The sequence below is a fragment of the Homo sapiens genome, chromosome 2 (genome assembly GCF_000001405.40).
Source record: "Homo sapiens chromosome 2, GRCh38.p14 Primary Assembly".
NCBI lineage: Eukaryota > Metazoa > Chordata > Mammalia > Primates > Hominidae > Homo > Homo sapiens.
The window spans coordinates 30905758-30924978 of NC_000002.12; the positions used below are offsets into that span (position 1 = coordinate 30905758).

General features: G+C 47.6%; 1 protein-coding gene across 13 annotated transcripts in view; it reads right to left on the bottom strand.

The window, feature by feature from the left end:
* GALNT14 (polypeptide N-acetylgalactosaminyltransferase 14) overlaps window positions 1-19221 on the bottom strand; it is a 251659-nt gene that overhangs the window by 18976 nt on the left and 213462 nt on the right. For 6 of the 13 annotated variants that reach the window (NM_024572.4, NM_001329095.2, NM_001253826.2 and 3 more), the window contains 4 exons: window positions 18983-19066; window positions 18362-18506; window positions 6466-6585; window positions 4710-5302 (listed from right to left, as the gene is read on the bottom strand). In NM_024572.4, coding sequence (NP_078848.2) covers window positions 5144-5302; window positions 6466-6585; window positions 18362-18506; window positions 18983-19066 — 508 coding nt within the window. In that variant the 3' untranslated portion in view covers window positions 4710-5143. Of the gene's footprint in view, window positions 1-4709; window positions 5303-6465; window positions 6586-18361; window positions 18507-18982; window positions 19067-19221 lie in introns of those variants that run through there. The other 7 variants (XR_007081588.1, XR_001738941.2, XR_007081587.1 and 4 more) reach the window with 3 other exon arrangements.

The following is a 19221-nucleotide window of genomic DNA, read 5'->3' on the forward strand; positions in this document are numbered from 1 at the left end:
GTCAGATTCACCAAAGTTGAAATGAAGGAAAAAATGTTAAGGGCAGCCAGAGAGAAAGGTCGGGTTACCCTCAAAGGGAAGCCCATCAGACTAACAGCGGATCTCTCGGCAGAAACCCTACAAGCCAGAAGAGAGTCAGGGCCAATATTCAACATTCTTAAAGAAAAGAATTTTCAACCCAGAATTTCATATCCAGCCAAACTAAGCTTCATAAGCGAAGGAGAAATAAAATACTTTACAGACAAGCAAATGCTGAGAGATTTTGTCACCACCAGGCCTGCCCTAAAAGAGCTCCTGAAGGAAGCACTAAACATGGAAAGGAACAACCAGTACCAGCCGCTGCAAAATCATGCCAAAATGTAAAGACCATCGAGACTAGGAAGAAACTGCATCAACTAACGAGCAAAATAACCAGCTAACATCATAATGACAGGATCAAATTCACACATAACAATATTAACTTTAAATGTAAATGGACTAAATGCTCCAATTAAAAGACACAGACTGGCAAATTGGAGAGTCAAGACCCATCAGTGTGCTGTATTCAGGAAACCCATCTCACGTGCAGAGACACACATAAGCTCAAAATAAAAGGATGGAGGAAGATCTACCAAGCAAATGGAAAACAAAAAAAAGGCAGGGGTTGCAATCCTAGTCTCTGATAAAACAGACTTTAAACCAACAAAGATCAAAAGAGACAAAGAAGGCCATTACATAATGGTAAAGGGATCAATTCAACAAGAAGAGCTAACTATCCTAAATATATATGCACCCAATACAGGAGCACCAAGATTCATAAAGCAAGTCCTGAGTGACCTACAAAGAGACTTAGACTCCCACACATTAATAATGGGAGACTTTAACACCCCACTGTCAACATTAGACAGATCAACGAGACAGAAAGTCAACAAGGATACCCAGGAATTAAACTCAGCTCTGCACCAAGCGGACCTAATAAACATCTACAGAACTCTCCACCCCAAATCAACAGAATATACATTTTTTTCAGCACCACACCACACCTAGTCCAAAATTGACCACATACTTGGAAGCAAAGCTCTCCTCAGCAGATGTAAAAGAACAGAAATTATAACAAACTATCTCTCAGACCACAGTGCAATCAAACTAGAACTCAGGATTAAGAATCTCACTCAAAACCACGCAACTACATGGAAACTGAACAACCTGCTCCTGAATGACTACTGGGTACATAATGAAATGAAGGCCGAAATAAAGATGTTCTTTGAAACCAATGAGAACAAAGACACAACACACCAGAATCTCTGGGACACATTCAAAGCAGTGTGTAGAGGGAAATTTATAGCACTAAATGCCCACAAGAGAAAGCAGGAAAGATCCAAAATTGACACCCTAACATCACAATTAAAAGAACTAGAAAAGCAAGAACAAACACATTCAAAAGCTAGCAGAAGGCAAGAAATAACTAAGATCGGAGCAGAACTGAAGGAAATAGAGACACAAAAAACCCTTCAAAAAAGTAATGATTCCAGGAGCTGGTTTTTTGAAAGGATCAACAAAATTGATAGACCGCTAGCAAGACTAATAAAGAAAAAAAGAGAGAAGAATCTAATAGACGCAATAAAAAATGATAAAGGGGATATCACCACCGATCCCACAGAAATACAAACTACCATCAGAGAATACTACAAAGAACTCTACGCCAATAAACTAGAAAATCTAGAAGAAATGGATAAATTCCTCGACACATACACTCTCCCAAGACTAAACCAGGAAGAAGTTGAATCTCGGAATAGACCAATAACAGGATCTGAAACTGTGGCAATAATCAATAGCTTACCAACCAAAAAGAGTCCAGGACCAGATGGATTCACACCTGAATTCTACCAGAGGTACAAGGAGGAACTGGTACCATTCCTTCTGAAACTATTCCAATCAATAGAAAAAGAGGGAATCCTCCCTAACTCATTTTATGAGGCCAGCATCATTCTGATACCAAAGCCAGGCAGAGACACAACAAAAAAAGAGAATTTTAGACCAATATCCTTGATGAACATTGATGCAAAAATCCTCAATAAAATACTGACAAAACGAATCCAGCAGCACATCAAAAAGCTTATCCACCATGATCAAGTGGGCTTCATCCCTGGGATGCAAGGCTGGTTCAATATACGCAAATCAATAAATGTAATCCAGCATATAAACAGAGCCAAAGACAAAAACCACATGATTATCTCAATAGATGCAGAAAAAGCCTTTGACAAAATTCAACAACCCTTCATGCTAAAAACTCTCAATAAATTAGGTATTGATGGGATGTATTTCAAAATAATAAGAGCTATCTATGACAAACCCACAGCCAATATCATACTGAATGGGCAAAAACTGGAAGCATTCCCTTTGAAAACTGGCACAAGACAGGGATGCCCTCTCTCACCACTCCTATTCAACATAGTGTTGGAAGTTCTGGCCAGGGCAATCAGGCAGGAGAAGGAAATAAAGGGTATTCAATTAGGAAAGGAGAAAGTCAAATTGTCCCTGTTTGCAGATGACATGATTGTATATCTAGAAAACCCCATTGTCTCAGCCCAAAATCTTAAGCTGATAAGCAACTTCAGCAAAGTCTCAGGATACAAAATCAATGTACAAAAATCACAAGCATTCTTATACACCAATAACAGACAAACAGAGAGCCAAATCATGAGTGAACTCCCATTCACAATTGCTTCAAAGAGAATAAAATACCTAGGAATCCAACTTACAAGGGATGTGAAGGACCTCTTCAAGGAGAACTACAAACCACTGCTCAAGGAAATAAAAGAGGATATAAACAAATGGAAGAACATTCCATGCTCATGGGTAGGAAGAATCAATATCATGAAAATGGCCATACTGCCCAAGGTAATTTACAGATTCAATGCCATCCCCATCAAGCTACCAATGACTTTCTTCACAGAATTGGAAAAAACTACTTTAAAGTTCATATGGAACCAGAAAAGAGCCCGCATCGCCAAGTCAATCCTAAGCCAAAAGAACAAAGCTGGAGGCATCACGCTACCTGACTTCAAACTATACTACAAGGCTACAGTAACCAAAACAGCACGGTACTGGTACCAAAACAGAGATATAGATCAATGGAACAGAACAGAGCCCTCAGAAATAACGCCGCATATCTACAACTATCTGATCTTTGACAAACCTGAGAAAAACAAGCAATGGGGAAAGGATTTGCTATTTAATAAATGGTGCTGGGAAAACTGGCTAGCCATATGTAGAAAGCTGAAACTGGATCCCTTCCTTACACCTTATACAAAATTCAATTCAAGATGGATTAAAGACTTAAATGTTAGACCTAAAACCATAAAAACCCTAGAAGAAAACCTAGGCATTACCATTCAGGACATAGGCACGGGCAAGGACTTCATGTCTAAAACACCAAAAGCAATGGCAACAAAAGCCAAAATTGACAAATGGGATCTAATTAAACTAAAGAGCTTCTGCACAGCAAAAGAAACTACCATCAGAGTGAACAGGCAACCTACAAAATGGGAGAAAATTTTCGCAACCTACTCATCTGACAAAGGGCTAATATCCAGAATCTACAATGAACTCAGACAAATTTACAAGAAAAAAACAAACAACCCCATCAAAAAGTGGGCGAAGGACATGAACAGACACTTCTCAAAAGAAGACATTTATGCAGCCAACAGACACATGAAAAAATGCTCATCATCACTGGCCATCAGAGAAATGCAAATCAAAACCACAATGAGATACCATCTCACACCAGTTAGAATGGCAATCATTAAAAAGTCAGGAAACAACAGGTGCTGGAGAGGATGTGGAGAAATAGGAACACTTTTACACTGTTGGTGGGACTGTAAACTAGTTCAACTATTGTGGAAGTCAGTGTGGCGATTCCTCAGGGATCTAGAACTGGAAATACCATTTGACCCAGCCATCCCATTACTGGGTATATACCCAAAGGACTATAAATCATGCTGCTATAAAGACACATGCACATGTATGTTTATTGCAGCATGATTCACAATAGCAAAGACTTGCAACCAACCCAAATGTCCAACAATGATAGACTGGATTAAGAAAATGTGGCACATATACACCATGGAATACTATGCAGCCATAAAAAATGATGAGTGCATGTCCTTTGTAGGGACATGGATGAAATTGGAAAACATCATTCTCAGTAAACTATCGCAAGAACAAAAAACCAAACACCACATATTCTCACTCACAGGTGGGAATTAAACAATGAGATCACATGGACACAGGAAGGGGAATATCACACTCTGGGGACTGTTGAGGGGTGGGGGGAGGGGGGAGGGATAGCAGTGGGAGATATACCTAATGCTAGATGACGAGTTAGTGGGTGCAGTGCACCAGCATGGCACATGTATACATATGTAACTAACCTGCACAATGTGCACATGTACCCTAAAACTTAAAGTATAATAATAAAAAAAAAAAGAAACCCCTGATCTGGTCCCACTCTCCTAATTTGACATAACAGGAAATGGTGGGTCAAAGAAGTTACATGTCATTTTAAGATCCCACAGCTAGTTGGTGGCAGCCCAGGATAAGGGCACAGGTCTCCCATCTCCCTGTCTTCTTTGTCCACTCTGCCACAGGTGCCCCCCACCCCATGCCCCTATTCCGTGAAGAGCTCAGCTTAGCCCTGAGCCAACAAAAGAAGAAAAGAGCAAGAGATGTCCAGAGACAACTTCTAAGTTTCTCTTTATTTCTTTTGGAAACAACCTCCATTCTTCATCTCTCAATGTAGTCCTGGCCTAGTGAAAAAGAAGGCTTTTCTTTCTGGCCTCCAGAGACTGCTTCCTTTGTAGGAAAAGGAACAATAAACACTTCCCATTAGGTTTCTGTCTCCAGATACCAATCAGGGAATGACTGGCCAGGACTGGAACTTAACGGCCTTGAGAACATGTGGGATTTGTCTTTGAGCCCCATTGGCTTGTGATGTTTTCCTCTGTCCTCCCTGAGACAGTTGCTCCTGTCCTGGGGGGCTCTGCCTCCACCTCCCAGTCCAGGATGTCTGAGGTGGTTGCAGGCTGCTTGCTGCCCAGTTTCCAGTCTGTTCTGGTCCAGGGAAGCACCACCCCATGGCCCTTGCTGCTTCTGGCAGGGGTCCTCAAGAGCTCACCATGTCCCAGTGCTGGCTCATGAGTGAGGACTCACATGGGTTGACGACGATTTCCTTGCCGTTCTCGGTGCCATCACCGAACATATCTGTATCGAGGCAGAGGTGGGATGCTATGTGCTCGATGTGGGAACCAGTTTTGGTCCATTGCTGGTAAGACAAAGAAGAGAGTGAATGAACTAGGTGCCATCAGTAACATGGGAGTTCCAGCTTTATCAGAAAGGTAGGTGCCTCATGTCTAGGGTCACTGAGAGACTTGATTTCATGGTTTCATAAGCACTAAAACTGCAACTAATTGCTCTACCAGGTATTATTGTTGGTTTCTTTTTTTAAATTGGATTAAAAAAAGTTAAAAGCAAAATCAATATGTTTACTAGGAAAACTCATTAGGAGGCAATAACTTTCCAAGCAGTAGCCCAGAAAACATGAAGCGAGTTAGTCACAGGAGCAACCTAAGAAACGATCCACACTCAGCATCTGCACGATGGCAGAGAAGTGGGGAAGAGCTGGGAGCAGCGAGTGTGATGGCAGGAGGGGCTGGGGGCTTCTTCAAAATGTGTCAGCACACGACGGGCCAGAGCAGAGAGGCAGGTCTCATGCAGCAGGTTCTCACACTTGACCTCGCATGACAAAGGAGGGACTGGACACATCAGGGGAAGCACCCCGGAGAGGGCACTGAGCACGTTACTGCCAAGAGACAGTCACAGCTGCCCTGTGTAGTGGACATTCTCAACCCCATTTCAGAGAGGAGGAAATGGACATCCAGAGAGGTCCAATAACCTGCCATGGGTCACACAGCCTGTAAACCATAAAACAGGCATTTGAATCTTGTTCTCTCTAACACCAATACCCAGTTGGCAAGAAACTGAATGGAGACATCACTTTGCTGCTAGAGGAACTGGGCATGTGGTGCATCCAGAATGCTAGGAAGTTTGGGGGACATACTGCCAGAGCCCAGGGCCCTGAAGGCAAGGGTCAAGTCTTGCTCATCCTTGTGACCCTGAGATCCTTGTTTGGGATCCCACGTGGGGAACAGAGCAATGACAGGAAAGTAGAAGATGACTGGGCATGGTGTGGTCAGTGGAAATCAATAGGCTTTCATGGGGCAGGCTGACCAGTGAGGGTGGATGTTGCCATTGCTGCTAGCATCACAGAGGGGATCCCAGGCAGCACTTTCCCTCCCTCTCCTGACCTCTCTTATCAACTCTTCCTCTTCTAACAATTTCTCTCTTTTCCTGCTCATCAGACTAAGCCCTCAACAGGCAGTCACATTACGGAGTTGGCCACATCCCAGGGACCTGCTGAGCACTTACCTGTCGGTCATCTCCATTCTTGCAAAGGACAAGAACCACTGGGGCGCCAGGGAACAAGGTGATGACTGACAGGCACAGCTCCTCCTGGAGGATCTGCTGGGTGTATGTGAAGGCCCATACCTGGGGAGAAAGAGACCAGGAAGGTTTGTTCAGGATCCAGGAAGCCACCACTCGTGGGATACAACCACACTTACGGGTGTGATTAGCACAGGCTGGTAAGAAGCACCAAGGGTCCCAGTAGGCAATGATCATCAAGGTTACCTTGGAAAATGCTACTCAAGTGCCAGAGACTCGGAGGTCATATCTCCATGGAAATCTCCATCCACCCCATGAAGGGGCCTGGGCCTGGGCCATTCAGGCTGCCTCTGGGAGTCCTGAACAATTCTGGGCTTTGGGCAGGAGTCTGAACAACAACCCCAGCTGAGCTGTGTGCTCCACAGTTTTTGTTTGGAGAAAACATCTCGAGGGGGTCTGTTCCCAGCACTTGACATTTCAAGCAGCCATCTAGCAGGTCAACTCCCCACCCCTCCATACCAGATATCTTTAGACTCTCCCCTGTTCTTTGAAAGGCAGTCCAAGTCAGTGTCCAGAGCACATGAGACTAGAGCACATGAGAGTTATGACAAGAGGCAGATGGAAGGATAAATGGAACAAGTGTTCCAAGGGAATGAATAAAGAAGGGTCTAGGGAAAGAAGAATGTTATGAGGATTCAAATTATTTCAGGAGGGTGCATGTGCCAGGATAATAGATCTTTTGGCCCCTGAGCTCTTTCAGGGAGCGAAGCTGAGAAATTGGATTGACAAGCAGAGTTCTGTTGGCATCAGGAAGAAGGGCATGCTGTGTCATTCATTATGAGGAATGATTCCAACATTTTTCCTCCAAAGTACCAGAGATCACAGAGTAACTGGATTATGAAGCCACAAGCACTTCCCAGTTCTTAAGTCAGTGGGGCAGAAAGTACTGGCATAAGCGTTTTCTCCCCCAGGTTGTAAAATAAGGTAATATTTACCCTTTGCCTCCGTCTGGGGGCAAAGATGATTCCTGAATTGGGTCCCCTGGGGAAGCTGCGGAGGATCCTTTGAGGGCTGTATCTGTTTCCACCACATCCCTGAAACAAGTTGACCCTGAGCCTCTGGACCAGGTTACTCATTGGCTACTTCCCCTTGGCCCAAGAATGAAAAAGTCCACTTAGCAGGCCAGCCTCCTACTCTAGGACAAGGTGTCCCCCAGGCAGACATGGTGGTCATCTGTCTCTCGTTCTCCATCTTCCCTCCTGGTCCCTGGTCCTCTCCTGACCTCCATGGGCTGCTGAAAGCTTTAATTGTTTTCTGGGACCTGGGTGGTTCGGAGGAACCACTCCCACAGGCTCAGGACCTTCTGCTGTCCTGAATACGTCCACCTTGAGTCAACCTGACTTGCTGTACAATGACGCCTGGCTCTCTTGATCTGGGACTCACCGGCCTAGTGGGAGAATGGCTCCTGCATTAGGATTCTTTTATCCCTTTTCAAACTGTTGGTGTTGGGAGAAGACCTAGATCAGAAAGTACTCCCTGGGGAGAGATGCAAATATAGATGAAACAAGACTGTCCTTGAGTCTTGTTCTTAACAGCAGGGCAATGGGTACATGGGCGTTCTTTATACTATTCGACTTCTGTATCTATAGATATTTGAAATTTTCTATAATAAAAAGTCATGAGATACATTCCTTGGGACATATCAAGAAGTTCTTCTCTGGCCTTGTGACCATCACATTCTACACATCCCATTTGCCTTTCTCCAAGATAAGCTGAAAGGGGAAACAAGTCTGTCCGCACAGAGGTGGTGCAATGACCAGGCTGCTGCTGCTGCTGCTGCTAATAAGAGCTGACATTTATTGAGCGCTTATGATGTGCCCAGCATTATCCTGACAACTTTACACAGATTGATTAATTTTCATAAGAATCCTATTAAGTAGGTATTACTATTATCCTCATTTTATAGATGATGAAACCAAGGCTCGGAGAGGCTATCCAAAGTCATACACCAGCAAGTGGCCCCCACACCAACTTTCTCCAGCAGCTCTGCTCTTGTTGATGCTGGAGAGTTAGGGCCGGCTCTGAGCTCTTTTAGATAACCTTAATCCGGGGAGAAGACACCTGCCCCTGAGATTCTTCTTCCAGGTTGTAGACATTAAAACCAAAGATCAGCTCCACCTTGACAGGGGAGAGTGGCAAGAGATTCTTCTTCTTGGCCAGTTCCCAATGACAACCTTTATGAAAAGATGAACAAAGGTTGTACCCCCTTGCCAAGGTCTGGGGTGGGGCAGGCCAGAGAATAGTGCCCTCTCTAATAGAGTAATTCGGCCATGAGTATGAATGGAGGCCCACACTCCTGATTCTACACCAAACCATAGGATACACACAGTGCTGGCTTCTAGCCTGAGCCGCCCCGCCTTTTTCTTCCCCTACCTTGGCTGCATATCCAAGCTGAGTCATTCCCCTCTAAATGGTCTCCCTTGGACCTGGGGATGTGTACTAGAGACACAGTCCACCCTCGGAGGACAAACCCAGGGATGAGACCCACGCAGGGTTTTGAATTAGGCTGGGGCCATTTGGGTGGGGGATTCTGAAGTCCTAAATATCCAGAATGTGATCTAGAAGGTGGGCCTAGAATATTCCTTGGCCTGTGGGGAGGAGAGAGAAGGGCCAAAAGGTCAAATGCAACAGCTGGACTACCAGGAAGCCATATGCCCTGAGATCAGTACAAGGGAAAGACTAAGTTCATTCCTTCTGACCCATTACCTGACTATAGAGTCTGTAGGGAACCACAAATTAGTATTTCAAAAATGAATCCTGCCATTATCTTACAATCACCATCATACAATGACATTGTGTTTTTTGTGTTAAAAGCATTAACTGATTAAATATAAAAGCCTCTTTTGAGAGCCCACTTTGGCATTTCTTCTTTTTTAATATCCTAGGGGTCCCAAAACTGGAAGTGCTGGATGGGTGGGTGGGTGGGCAGTTATTTTGACATCCTCTACCCTTGTTGTCCACAGATGCCTTTCAGGAAGAAATGCATTTGGGCATCTGGTGTGTCCCCAGGCCGGGACTTGATGAAAACATCTCAAAGACCCCCAAGGAGAATGTGTGAACAGGCACAGCTAATGAAGCCCTCATGCTAAGTGGACTTTCCATTAGCTGGTATTTCCTGGCATTTCAATAACTTAGCCTCGTCATGTCCCAGAGGAAGGCTGATGTCTGGCCACATCTGAAAGAGGAGAGGAGGGAGGAGAAGCAGGAAACAGGAGCATACAGGTGGGAAGCAAGGAGAGCATTTTCGGATTTCCATTCTGCAGCCTGTCAGACTTCCCAGAAGGGCCATGATGAATGAGTTTATTAAAAGAATCCTGCAGTCAGAAACAGACTCCAGGAAGGCAGCAGAGGTTGCTCAGCAGGTCTGGCCTGGATTCGCTGAGTGCTGGGCCCTCTGCTGGTGGCTTCGTTTGGGGGCCTGGCAAAAGCCTAGCCCATGATGGAGGTCCTGTGGCAGGCCAGGTCTCCCTAACAGCTGAACAGGCAGGCCTCTAAGACAACTTTCAGCCCTGACTGAGTGGGTAAGTTAAATGTTAAAGGCTGAAAGGGCCAGTGCCCTTTTACAAAAGCTTATATGTAACAAAAGCCCACCAAGAGTTTGTCTAGGCTTTTCCTGGGCCTTGAAGCATGACAAGATAATGAAGGAATTCTTAACAGGACCTGTTTAGGATTAAACAAGTTTTATCAGGGGTCTGAAGAAACTCCCCAGACCTCCACAAACAAGTTTTATTGGGGTCTGAAGGAACTCCCCAAACCTCCATGATTTAGCAGGAGACAAGATAAGAGTAATCACCCCAGCACCTGGACCCATCTAGATTAAGTAAATTTACTGAGGCTCCAGGAGAAGGTCTTCAGGACTCAGACCTTAGTTATAGATTAGAAGAAGTTAATCACTTATGTCTTTAGATGAATGCACACTCACACGTAGACAAACAGCTTAGAAGGTATATAAGCTCTGAAAAACTTTGTAATTTTGAGTTGGTCTGGTGATAATTTCCAGGTTTTCTCTCTGTGCCCGGTTACAGAAATAAACTCTCTTCTTTCCCAGTTCATCTGCATCTCATTATTGGGCCATGAGAATAAGCAGCTCAACCCTCGGTTTGGTCCGGGAACCGTCCCTCCTATCCCAAAGCTGTAGCCATGGAAGGGCAACCCAGAGACTGTCCTTAGTTGGTGTGGGTGACCCTGCCCCCTCCACTGGGATAGGCCAGCTGGGGGCTGAGGAGGAGGGGAGTCACCAATGAATGAGGAGGGGATCGACTGGGTCAGACAGCCTTAAAACCTTCTGTGCTTGGAGGACACGTCTGGAGATGGCCACTGCTGGTGGGAGCAGGGAGGGGACAGGCAGGGGTCAGTAACCTTCTCTAGCAGATGCCAGTCTGGCCATAGCTGTGGAAGCTGGGATGCAGACGGGCCACAGCACCCAGCCTGGGGCTTGTGGTCTTGCACAGGATGGCGAAGCAGGGATGAAAGATTGTCTTAAGAGGTAACTAAAAGAGGGTCAGGCGCGGTGGCTCTTGCCTGTAATCCCAGCACTTTGGGAGGCTGAGATGGGTGGATCACGAGGTCAGGAGTTTGAGACCAGCCTGGCCAATATGGTGAAACCCCATCTCTACCAAATATACAAAAATTAGCCAGGTGTGGTGGCACATGCCTGTAATCCCAGCTACTCAGGAGGCTGAAGAAGGAGAATTGCTGGAGCCTGGGAGACAGAGGTTGCAGTGAGCTGAGATCATGCCATTGCACTCCAGCCTGGGCAAAAGAGTAAGACTCCGTCTCAAAAAAAAAAAAAAAAAAAAAAAAAAAAAGAGGCAGGAGTGAGGACGAGCCTGGGCCCAGGCAGAGGAGCTGCTCTTGGAATGGCCCAGGGCCCCTGCCTCTGGTAGGCAAGAAACAATCAGCCTGGAGCAGCGGCTCTCGACTCTCCCCACTCAGCGGACCTCTGGCAGTGTCTGCAGACATTTTTGGTTCTATGGCTGGGTGAAGGAGTGTTTCTAGCCACCAGTGGGTGGGGTCATGGATGCTGCTAAACATCCCATGCTGCACAGGACAACCCCTCAACAAAGAAGGATCTGGCCCTATTACCAGTAGTGCTGAGGGTTAGAAGCCCTAGTCTCACCTGAAGGGCTTGGGCTCTGCAGGTGGCAGGCCTGTATCTGAACCATGCCCTGGCATTACTCACATACCACCTGGGCAGTCTCTCCAAGCCTCCCTTACCCCATCTGTCAATACTCTCTCCAGGAGGGGTGACACCACCAGGCATGGGCAGGACAGCACTGCTGGTTTTGTTGTAGTTAGACAGCCAAAGTGACAACTGCTTGTAAGAGACTCTTTCAAGGGCCAGGCCTGGTGCTAGTTGCTTCACATTCATTGTCTATTTAATTCTCATAACCACTACGGTTCCCGTTTTGTAGAAGAGGAAACTGAGGATCAAAGGGGCCAATGGTTACTCTGGCAATGCCAGAAGCAGACCCCAGGGTTGATTCTGAACTTGGCCTCTCCTTGGTGAGGTGAGACCTGAGCCAAGTATCCAGGGCCTTGAACATCTTAGTCCATACTGGGTACCTCCACGGTCCCTGAGACATAGCCTTGAAGCTCTCCCTTCAAACAAGGCATCTAGAATGGATGAGCCTGAATTCAAATGAACTGCCCTCGTGATGCCTCTGGCTCTCTGAAGCATCAGCTGCAGTGATTGTACCAACTGTGACAACAGCACAAGTGAGCTGATGGCTGTGCTGGGGTCTGCCTCAGTCCCTCCCTGGTGGAGGCTTTTTCTCCAGAGGCAGCAGGATGACCTGGTGGGCTCCTAGACACACCTCCTTCCATTGGAAACTTTGATGAACCCACTTTTGGGGTCTTTTCTTTATTTCCAGCCCATTCTGTCCTTTCCTCCCATGTGGCAAGATTACACTTATATGTGTGATTAAAGCCCACACTCAGTACATCTTCGCTGGGTCATGTTGTTGGATCCTGGGGTGATACCAGGGCTAGAATCCCCACAGAGCTGCCTATTAACCTGTGAATTTGAGCGAGTTACTCAACTCTGTACCACAGTTCCCTTGCATGTAAAATGAGGATGACATCAGTCTCTAAGAGGGTCACTGCAAGGAACAAATGGGTTAATACCTATCCCAGAGTGGTGCTTTCCATTAGCAAATGCTCAATTGCTGTCTGCTGTGTTCACGATGGTGACCAGGGGGAGCCAACAAGAAGAGAGAGGACCTTACAGACCTTCCTTTGGAATCCTGCCCAGGAGCTATACTGGAGGCAGGGATGGAGCCATTCCCAAGACTGTGTTGACAAAGCACAGGAAGGAAGGGTGGCATCGGGCAGGGAGGGTGGCATTGGGCAGGGAGGATGGCATCGGGCAGGGAGGGTGGCATCAGGCAGGGAGGATGGCATCGGGCAGGGAGGGTGGCATCGGGCAGGGAGGGGGGTATCAGGCAGGGAGGGTGGCATCAGGCAGGGAGGGTGGCATCGGGCAGGGAGGGTGGCATTGGGCAGGGAGGGTGGTGTGTGGGCTGGGAGGGTGGCATCGGGCAGGGAAGGTGGCATCAGGCGGGGAAGGTGGCATCAGGCAGGGAGGGTGGCATCGGGCAGGGAGGGTGGTGTGCAGGCAGCCTGTCCCACCGGCAGACTCAGGCTCACACACCTCGAGGCACCAGTGCCAGTCCAGATTAGGGGGAGACTTTATCTTCACCTGCCCACCCAGGGTACCCACCTTGCATGCTCCACAGCCAGTAGCCCACACACTGGGAGACAGGTAAAAGGACGAGCTAAAAATATATCTTATGTTTTTCCCCTTTCTTTAAATTGGGATGGAAACTAGATTGGTGCACCTGTATTCTTTCTACCTTTCACAAATATTTTTCTAGAGTCCAATAAAGTTAAGAGGAAACTTGTTAACCTTCTCGGGCTTCACATGTTTACAAACGGATGATGTATTTCTCTCGCATTTCACCTAAGGCATCAGTTTTCTGACATCTTCAATACACACTCAGATTAAATATTTTGCTCCCAAGGTTGACAAGTCAGCCAAGAGAGGAAGGGAAGGCAGGTGAGGAATGGATAGGACTGGGGGTGGAGCAGCATCGGGAGCCAGTGTCAGAACCAGAGGACAAAACAGTCTCCTTTCAACAACGAGGACGCCCCAGAGCCTGGGGCTCACCTGCCTGCAGAGACTGTGGGCAGCTAAAGCTGAACTCAGCCCTTGGCTCCCATTCTCTGGTGCTTTTACTCCACAGTTGAGGACCCTAGAGTCTCCAGGGCAAAAGGACCAAGCCTTATTTAAAAACCTATGTAGATCTCATCCCTGGGTTCATACATGGTCCTGTATCCCCAGCCAGTTACTTTACCTGCGGCTTTGCTTCTTCGCCTTTGAGCGTGTCCTCTGAGGGTAGACTATATCCCTAGTACACAGCCCTAGGCCCAAGGGGGACCATTTAGTTGGGAGTGACCCAGCTTGGATATGCAGCCAGGGTGTGAAGAAATGGGGACAGGCAAGACAGGAAGCCAGCATGGTATGTGTCCCACATTCTGGTGTGGAATTGGGAGTAGGAGCCTCCATTCATGCTCTTGTCCCAATGCCCATAACATAAGGGAGGGGACTACTCTCTGGCATGGTCCTCCACCCGAGACCTTGACATGGGGGTACAACCTTCGTTCATCTTTTCATAAAGATTGTCCTTTGAAACTGGCCAAGAAGAAGAATCTCTTGCCACTCTCCCCTGTCAAGGTGGAGCTGATTTATGGTTTTAATGTTTACAACCTAGAAGAGGAATTTCAGGGGCAGGTGTCTTCTCACCTGATTACACTTGTCTAAAAGAGCTCAGAGCCAGCCCTGACTCTCCAGCATCAGCAAGAGCAGAGCTATGATATGCGGCCAGATTCTCCAAATCCATCTTCACCGTTATTGGTAGGATATGACTTTGGGTAACCTCTCCAAGACTTGGTTTCATTGTTTTGGCCTCGGCCTGTATCTGTACGATGGGATAATAGCAACATCTACTTAACAGGCTTTTATGTCACTTCCCTGATATGGCCTCTCAGAGGCAAAAGAAGTGGGAGCAGAGAAGACTGAACAAACCATGTTTAGGGGTTTGAGGGGCAGATGTGACTCCCTCTGGACAGGCCAAGAGGCAGGACAAGTAGGAGGACAGAGGTAGGAAGAGGTGATGGGGGCAAAGCAGCCATAAGAGGAGAGAATGTGACAAAGCCCAGTGTTAGCAGAAGGGGTTGGGAAGTGGGAAAACAGGACATTTACATGGGAAGGAGGAGCGGACACTGAAAAGAAGAGAAAGGCCATATAAGTCAGTCCTATGAGAGTGTATGCTACACACACACACACACACACACACACACACACATAGGCACACATACTCAGGGAGATTATCTTAGCTGGCATGGTCATGTGGATTTCTTTCAGTCCCATGTGGGTTTAACACCTCCAGATTACTTGGAAATGTATCCAAGTCGTGCCGTAGGCCCTGGAGGGCAGGGGCTCTGTCTCACCCAGCATCAGGCCACCTTGCATCCCAGCAGGAATGGTCCCTGGGCCGTGGTACAGTCTGTGAAGTGGACTGAGCGTCATCCTGTCTAGGAGTATTCTCCCAGCACCCCACATTCACACTGTGGTGACACCAACCCAGTTGTTCTCTCCAAGGCAGAGAGGAGGGGCATCTCAGTACCATCTTCCAGAGAAGATGCTTTACTCACCCACAGGCCATGCCCAGGATGAGTGTGAGTTGCCCCCAGATGACTGCTGTCCCTCCCCTTTTTCACATGACAGGAAGGTCAGCTGGGATGGGCACTATTACCTTCTGGTCAAATAAAGGCCTGACAACTCTCCTCAGGGCCAGAGCATTGCAGGGCCCCTCTCGGAGGCCCACAGAGACCTGGCTCCTCTTCTCCCACTTCTTTATGCAGCCAAAGGTGTCAGGTACCAGAAAAGTCCCCTGTTCTGCTGGAAACAGACCAAGCACACTCCTGCCCCAGGGAAAGGGGGAAGACAACACTCTGGCTGCTGCCCACCAGCACTGCCCACACACAGATTCAGAAGACAGGGATGTGTGTCCCCTACTCACAACATTTTGCAAAATGCCACTTGAGCAAATTATGTCATTCTCATCCAGGCAGTCACGCCTTAAGCAAAATCAACACCTCAATTTCCTTTCCCTTTTCCTGTCTGATTCAAGCAGCTCCCTCCCCTGCCCTACTGGAGTAGAGATATGATTCCTGGAAAAGCCACCGCAAGCTGGAGCTGGGTTGAGATGCCTCAAGTACCAAGGCCAAGAGTCTGGCTTTTGTGATAGACAATAGGAGCCATCGATGTCTGTGCTGAGACTGGGAACAATGGGTTAATGACCACATTCAATGTCAGGGTAGGGGCAGGGCTGCAGCCAGGGCAGGAGAAGCAAGTGGAGGCTTTTGCTGTAATCTAACCCAGTGGCTCCCAACTGGCATAGGTTTGTCCCTCAGGGGGCATTTGGTCATGTGTGAGACACTTTTGATGGCCGTGACTTGTGTTGAGTTGTGTGGTGGGGAGGTGCTGCTGGCAAGAGTGGGCAGAGGCTAGGGATGCTGCTAGACTTCCCACAATACACAGGGGAGCCCCTACAACAAAGAAACGTCCAGCTCAAATGTCAAGAGTGCTGAGATTAAGGAATGCTGATCTAGCATGAAGAAGTGAACATGGGATCTAAGAGCAACCCTTCTGAGATATGAGACAATGAGGGGTGCAGGAGAAAGAAGAGCCACAGAAGCTGGACCAGGCTGGAACTGAGGGTCATGGGAGAAGGGGGTCACATGGAGAGAGCTAGTGGGACAAGCAGGCAGCCAGGGTGCCTGATAGATGCTCATGGCTATCTGTTGTCTTGAGTCACAAGTGAGTTCATTGTGGGCATGGACTCACTCAATCAGCCAGTGTTGAGAAAGTCCAGGTAGGAGATCTACACCTGCAGATCTGCAATTCCCAACCCTCTCCTGAGATCTCATAGCATCCTGTTCCCCAGGACAAAAAGCAACCTCTTCAGCACCTGCAAATCTGCAATTCCCAACCCTCTCCTGAGATCTCATAGCATCCTGTTTCCCAGAACAAAACATAACCTCTTCAGCACAGGAAGAGAGACCAGGATTCAGCTCCTGCTTTCTGTCCAGCCTCACCGTCTGCTGCTCCTTCCCCTCACATCCCACTCTCCAACCCTACTCTCCCACTGTCCTGCAAAGGCAGCATCCTCACTAGCACCCTTGCTCAGCTCCAGGTCTTTCCTGGGCCACCCTTTCTTCCCTTCCCAACTTGGCCTATTTCTACTCATCTCTGAGAATACAACTCATTTCCAAGTCCGGTTGGAAATCTTCCCTGAGCCTCACACCTAACTTGGATGCCATCTCTTGCAACTTCTATGGTATCCTGGACAAAACTCCATCCAGGACAGAGATTACATCATACTACTTTCTAGCTTATTTTTACATTAGGCCCTTTGAGGGGCCCTTCAGGCCTGCAACCTAGTCTTTCATCTCTGCATCTTCATAGTTAATAAAGAAGTATCTGTTGAATGAATAAATGAATTCATGGATAGATGAAGATAAGGAATTTGTGAATCAATAAACAGGAAACTGTCAAAGCTGGAAGCATGAAAAAATCTCCAAGAAATCGTTTGTAGAGAAAAGAACAGTGAGCTGGGAACCTTGATGAATACCCGCCAGAAGGGTATGAGAGTGGGGGTGAGGAGTTAGCAAGGAAGCCATAGACAAACGTGCCTTTTTTTTTTTTTTTTTTTTTTTGAAATGGAGTTTCACTATTGTTGCCTGGGCTGGAGTGCAATGGTGTGATCTCGGCTCACTGCAACCTCCGCCTCCAGGGTTCAAGCGATTCTCCTGCCTCAGCCCCCTGAGTAGCTGGGATTACAGGCGCATGCCACCCTGCCCGGCTAATTTTTTGTATTTTTAGTAGAGACAGGGTTTCACCATGTTTGCCAGGCTGGTCTTGAACTCCGGACCTTAGGTGATCCACCCACCTTGACCTTCCAAAGTGCTGGGATTACAGGCGTGAGCCACCGTACTTTAACGCAGTCAGCAGGCCAAGTGCTATGAGACAGGCTATGAATTTGTCAGTGACCTTTAAAACAACAGTTCTAGCCTCAGATGGGAGAAGACTGTCCCAAAAAACATGGCAGGGAGGGGGAGATACTTTGTTGATCAATCAAGTAAAGCACAGGAAACCTTTCAGAGAAGGGACCACAAGGGGTCCTGCAGACTTAGGAGAGGCAGGAGATGCAGAGGTGAAGCTGGGGATGAAGAAGGATGCTGCCCAGAGACAGGGTGGCAGACAGAGAGGGTTTTACCAAATCTGATGTGACTACCTGCCAGTCAGAGCTAAATCAGCTGGGAGACTCACAGAGCAGGCATTCCGTCCTGTCCCAGAAGGCAGTGTCACCCAGCGGCAGTCTTCTCCCTCTTTGCATTTCACATCTGCGAGCTAGCTGTGCCATTGGCCTTGCCTGACCCTGCCCACGGTTGCTGCCAGCAGGTAGGACACCAACTACAACAAACTCATTAAGCTCCTGCTAACTTAATGGGCAATTTCCTATAGGCAGGATGCTGCCTATTAAACTGTCTTTCAGAGGAACTCTATGCACTTGGAAAGCAAGCAGTGTAAGCACAGTGGCAGAGTGGGGGGATCACACCTCTCATGCTCCACTACCGATCTCTGGGAATAAATGGGCATCTGATGTCATGTAAGAGCAGGTGATGGAGGCAGAGTCATCTGGCTGCCTCCCTCTACTGTGACACATGGTCCTGTATGCCCAGCCAGTTACTTTACCTGGGACTTTGCATCTTCGCCTTTGACCTTGGCACAGGGGCTCAACTTTAGGTTTGGGGTTTCTTGGTTGTTCTGCCTTTGAGATTCCAGGCACTTCTGTCTCTGTCGGATATTGCCCTTCTGGATGGAGGACTCCTTGGGGATGCTGGAGGAGAGTCACAGGGAGAGAGGAGAGTCCACTGCTCATTGGATTAGCAAGACTACCAGCTGGAGAGGGTGGGCAGTGTTCTGAGAATGGCAGGGCTGGGCTGTTAGAAAATATCTGCACTGCTCGGGGAAGGGCAGGGTGCCACTAAGAATGAGGTGGCAAGGAAAGACCCAGGAGCTACAGAGGGAGATGAGTACCTGCAGTGAAGCTGGTGTCAGTGAGTCTGTAAGTCAGGGCTCAAACCCAAGCAGGTGAGAAATACTGCTACTGGCTAACTGTAATCCTTCATGCTATTGATTCAGTATAAGGTCCCTCCGGGTTTTAGGGGTGAACGGAGCCAACTGGTCTTCTTACACCTCTGATATACATAAAAGCCCTCATCCAGTTGGTCATTGTCTGTCTCTTCTCCAGACCAAGCCAGCTGAGGGCCTCTGCTTTCAGCCAGCCAAAGCTCCAACAGGTAGGACGGATACCTGAGTTCAGGGTAGATATTCTCCAGGTACCACTTGAAGCTCTGGCAGCGCAGATTCTTCCTCAGGTCCAATCTGCTCTCAACACTGGGGGCAACGGGGTTGTGGACAGACACAAAGACAAAACACAGCTGTCAGAGGCAGGCGCCAGCAACGCCAGTCCAGACTGAGAACACAAAGCGCGACCCATGCCCATGCTCTGTGCTCACATCTCTCTGGAAGGTGCTGGGGAAATTAAGCAA